We start from the raw sequence: 3,364 nt of genomic DNA, 5'->3' as shown, positions 1-3,364 counted from the left end.
CAGGAGTTCGAGACCAGCCTGGCCAACATGGTGAAACCCCGTCTCTACTAAAAATACAAAAAATTACCTGGGCGTGGTGGAGGGCGCCTGTAATCCCAGCTACTTGGGAGGCTGAGGCAGGAGAATCGCCTGAACCCGGGAGGTGCAGGTTGCCATGAGACAAGATCCCACCACTGCACTCCAGCCTGGGCGATAAGAGCAAAACTCTGTCTCAAAAAAAAAAAAAAAAAAAAAAAAAGATATATGTGTGTATACAAATATAAACACATACATATATGCATACATATATGCAGGAAAAAAGGCCAGGAAAATGGCGTCACTGGTTATCTCTAAAATGATTTTCAGTGAGAGTGATCTTGCTCCTAGGTGGCATGTGGCAATTTTTGGTGACATTTTTGGTTGTTAACAAATGTGGGGAGGCTGTGCTAATGACATCTAGTGGGTAGGGGCCAGGGATACCACTCAATGTCCTCAATGCAAGGATAGTCCTCACAATGAAGCATTATCCAGCCCAAAATATCCCTAGTGTCAAGGTTGAAAAACCCCACTTTAGACAACAGGTTTATGAAAGACTTTCTTTTTGCTTGTTTGTATTTTCTATTTTTTCTTCAATGAACATGTAGATCTTGCATAATTTTTTATTAATTTATTTTTGATTGACAATAATTGTGTATATTTATGGGGTACAATGTGATGTTTTGGTCTATAGATACAATGTAAAAAGAATCAATCAGGTTATTAAAGGCACATCAAGTGAGCACTTCTGAGAATGTTCTGGAGCCAATGCCAATATTTTTGCTATGCGATAACTAATGTAAAAAAGTATTTAGCACAGTGCCTCAGGTTTCCTTGCCACTACGGTCCCTTTCTCTAAACCTACTCCCTTACATTGGGTCCAAGGGACCTGCGACCCTACACCCCAGAAGTAGCAGATGATTTTCTCACTGGATGGCCCAAGCCTTCAGGCAGTGTCGTCTCATGGTATACCCAGCGAATTTGCTGTTAACTAAAATTTACTTTGTCACATATATGGCCCTTGGAGGCATCTTGCCAGAACCCAAAAGGTAGAGCAGGGGACTGACTAATTGAGACAGGGTTGTCTGTGCTCATCCAGAGTTCCAGTCTACTGCTACTCCATTTATGGAGCCATGTCTGGGGGGTTCTATTCATTGGCTCAAAAAACCTGTGCAAGGGAATGTTTCTTGTGGTAATCAAAGTGTGTTTACTTGGAAGTTTCATCACTTGAAGAAGTGGTTTATTGCTCGCACAGACTCCTCTGCTGTGAACATTAGATCTAATTAGTAGCTGAAATAGTGATGATTTAGCAAAGCTTCTGCATTTGATGGCTGTGGTTTCTGGGCCACCAATTGCAGTTAAAAAGAAGGCAATCATCTCTGCCATGGAATGAATCCTTTTTCTTAAAATTCCCAGGGAGCTGAAAGGCCCTGTGGGGGCTGGCTTTTTCTTTGACCCTAAAACTGGTGGAAACTCAGAGTTATGGAAATGACTCACACCCCGGGAAAAGCGTATCCCACAGTTGAAAGGGGCTTTAATTGATTTTCAGAGGGGTACTGCACCTCCTTGTGAATGCTCTAGCTTCTAACAATAATGGGAGGAAAATCTTTTTGAGAGGGATAGCAGGCTTTCTCTGAAGGTGGCACGGGACAGCTGATCTGTGCTGCCACCAGATTGATTGGGAGAGGCAGAAAGCTGAGGGTGATGACTGTTCAACATATAGCCTAAAGTGGTAGCTAATAGAGACTGAACCTAGGAGTTGGATGGGGCAGGGGCTTATTGGTTTTAGAAGGAGTGGAGAACATACTGGAACTTCATTCAGTCTGAAATGCTTGGATCAGACAATTTTGGTTATCTATCATCTGCCATACATGTGAGAGAAGGGACTTATCTGACCTTCCAGACGCACGTTTAAACAGTATCCTTTGTTTCCACTCTCTGAAGACATTCCCAGAGCTTAGGCTCTGCTTACTTCTTCATTTCCTCTGTGAGAAAAGTCACTACCAATCGTGTCTCCAGTGATCTAGTCTGCATGGAACACGGCTCTGAATCACTTTCCTTTCCTCAAACACCACTTGCTTCCCAAAAGGCAGAGCTAAAAAGAAGAGTCTGCAGGGAGGCAGAAGAGAGTGCTAATAGTCCAAAGGTGTGAGAGCTTGTTTTTGAAGGAACAGAACTCCTGAAGAAAGAGAGAATTTACCAGTCTGAACTGCTTGGCAGGGAATGTCGTGGCGACACTGCAGGTCTCAGGATGGCCGGAAAAATGTTGGCTCCTCAATGAGCAACTTTGGCAAGGTCCCTTCCAACTTGGATTTCAGTATTCTTTATTGCTTTTGTGAACAAAACATAACAACAAAAACAACAAAAATCCAAGCCAAAAGCCATTGCTAAACTTAGGGGTATTCTTGGGAATTTTGGGATTCTCACCCCTTCTATTTTTCTCCATCATAAGTGGTTATGATGTGCAGGAAGTCATTCTGTCCAGACAGCAAACTATAACAACAGCCTGGAACATTTCCATTGTACTGAGTCAAAAAAAAAAAAAAAATGAAAAGTGCCAGAGGAAGTAATATTAGTCAGTATTTAGTCACACTTAAAAACAATGGGATAGCTTAGGTTGGCTTGACATCACACATTTTCATCTGGTTATGGCCAAGATGAAGCCCTTTCAGCTGGCAAATTTTGTCTGGTGTTTGAAAAGATTTGAGTCCCCTCACTTCTCCCCACCCCATTACAATAAATAACAGAAAATAGTTCTTCACAGCCCTGGAGGAAAAAGATCTTGCGTACAAACTAACAAAGATTTGGGAAGGGTAGAAATGGAATGGAAAACATCTCAGAGGCAACGAAGGGCAAGTCCACACTGGTCTGTCTTCATCTCCTCCTGGAGAAGGGTAATTGCCTTGCTCCTGCTCTGCAACCACACCTCTGGGTCTCCATTTTTTACAGGGACAGCTCTAGAAAGAGGCCTCTTAACCCTTACAATCCCACACACAGACACTCATTCCCTCATTCATTCAAGTCTCCACTTGATATGCATTTATTCAAGGTCTGTTCTATACCTGGCACCATGCATATGGGAATAAGTAAAACCCAATTTGCGACCTTTAGGGCTTTAGTCTAGATGGAATTTTGACCAGAGGAAAAGGAAATTTTAGTTTCACATGACTATCCTAGTGTATGTGTGTTTCAAGTTGCATAGGCACACTTACGAGAGGCAAACACCTTCCTGGAGGCCAAAGAAAGGAGATTTCCTGGAGGCGGTAACCTGAGGGCTGGGTCTTGGAGTGCGGAATTGTTAAAGATAAACAAAGGCAGACGTGTTAAAGTGGTGAAAATAAATCTTGCA

The 3,364-nt window shown here is 42.7% G+C and overlaps 1 annotated feature.

The window, feature by feature from the left end:
* Positions 1,923-3,122: an enhancer, noted in NCBI's record as "BRD4-independent group 4 enhancer chr3:188618060-188619259 (GRCh37/hg19 assembly coordinates)". NCBI's record gives its function as "activates an origin of replication core promoter dependent on BRD2, P300/CBP, MED14 and CDK7 cofactors, and independent of BRD4, by STARR-seq in HCT116 cells {active_cell/tissue: HCT116}" and the evidence as "EXISTENCE:reporter gene assay evidence [ECO:0000049][PMID:35650434]".

The sequence above is a fragment of the Homo sapiens genome, chromosome 3 (assembly GCF_000001405.40).
Source record: "Homo sapiens chromosome 3, GRCh38.p14 Primary Assembly".
NCBI classification, from domain to species: domain Eukaryota; kingdom Metazoa; phylum Chordata; class Mammalia; order Primates; family Hominidae; genus Homo; species Homo sapiens.
The sequence above is the reverse complement of the archived record's forward strand: the minus strand, read 5'-3'. Positions and strand labels throughout refer to the sequence as shown.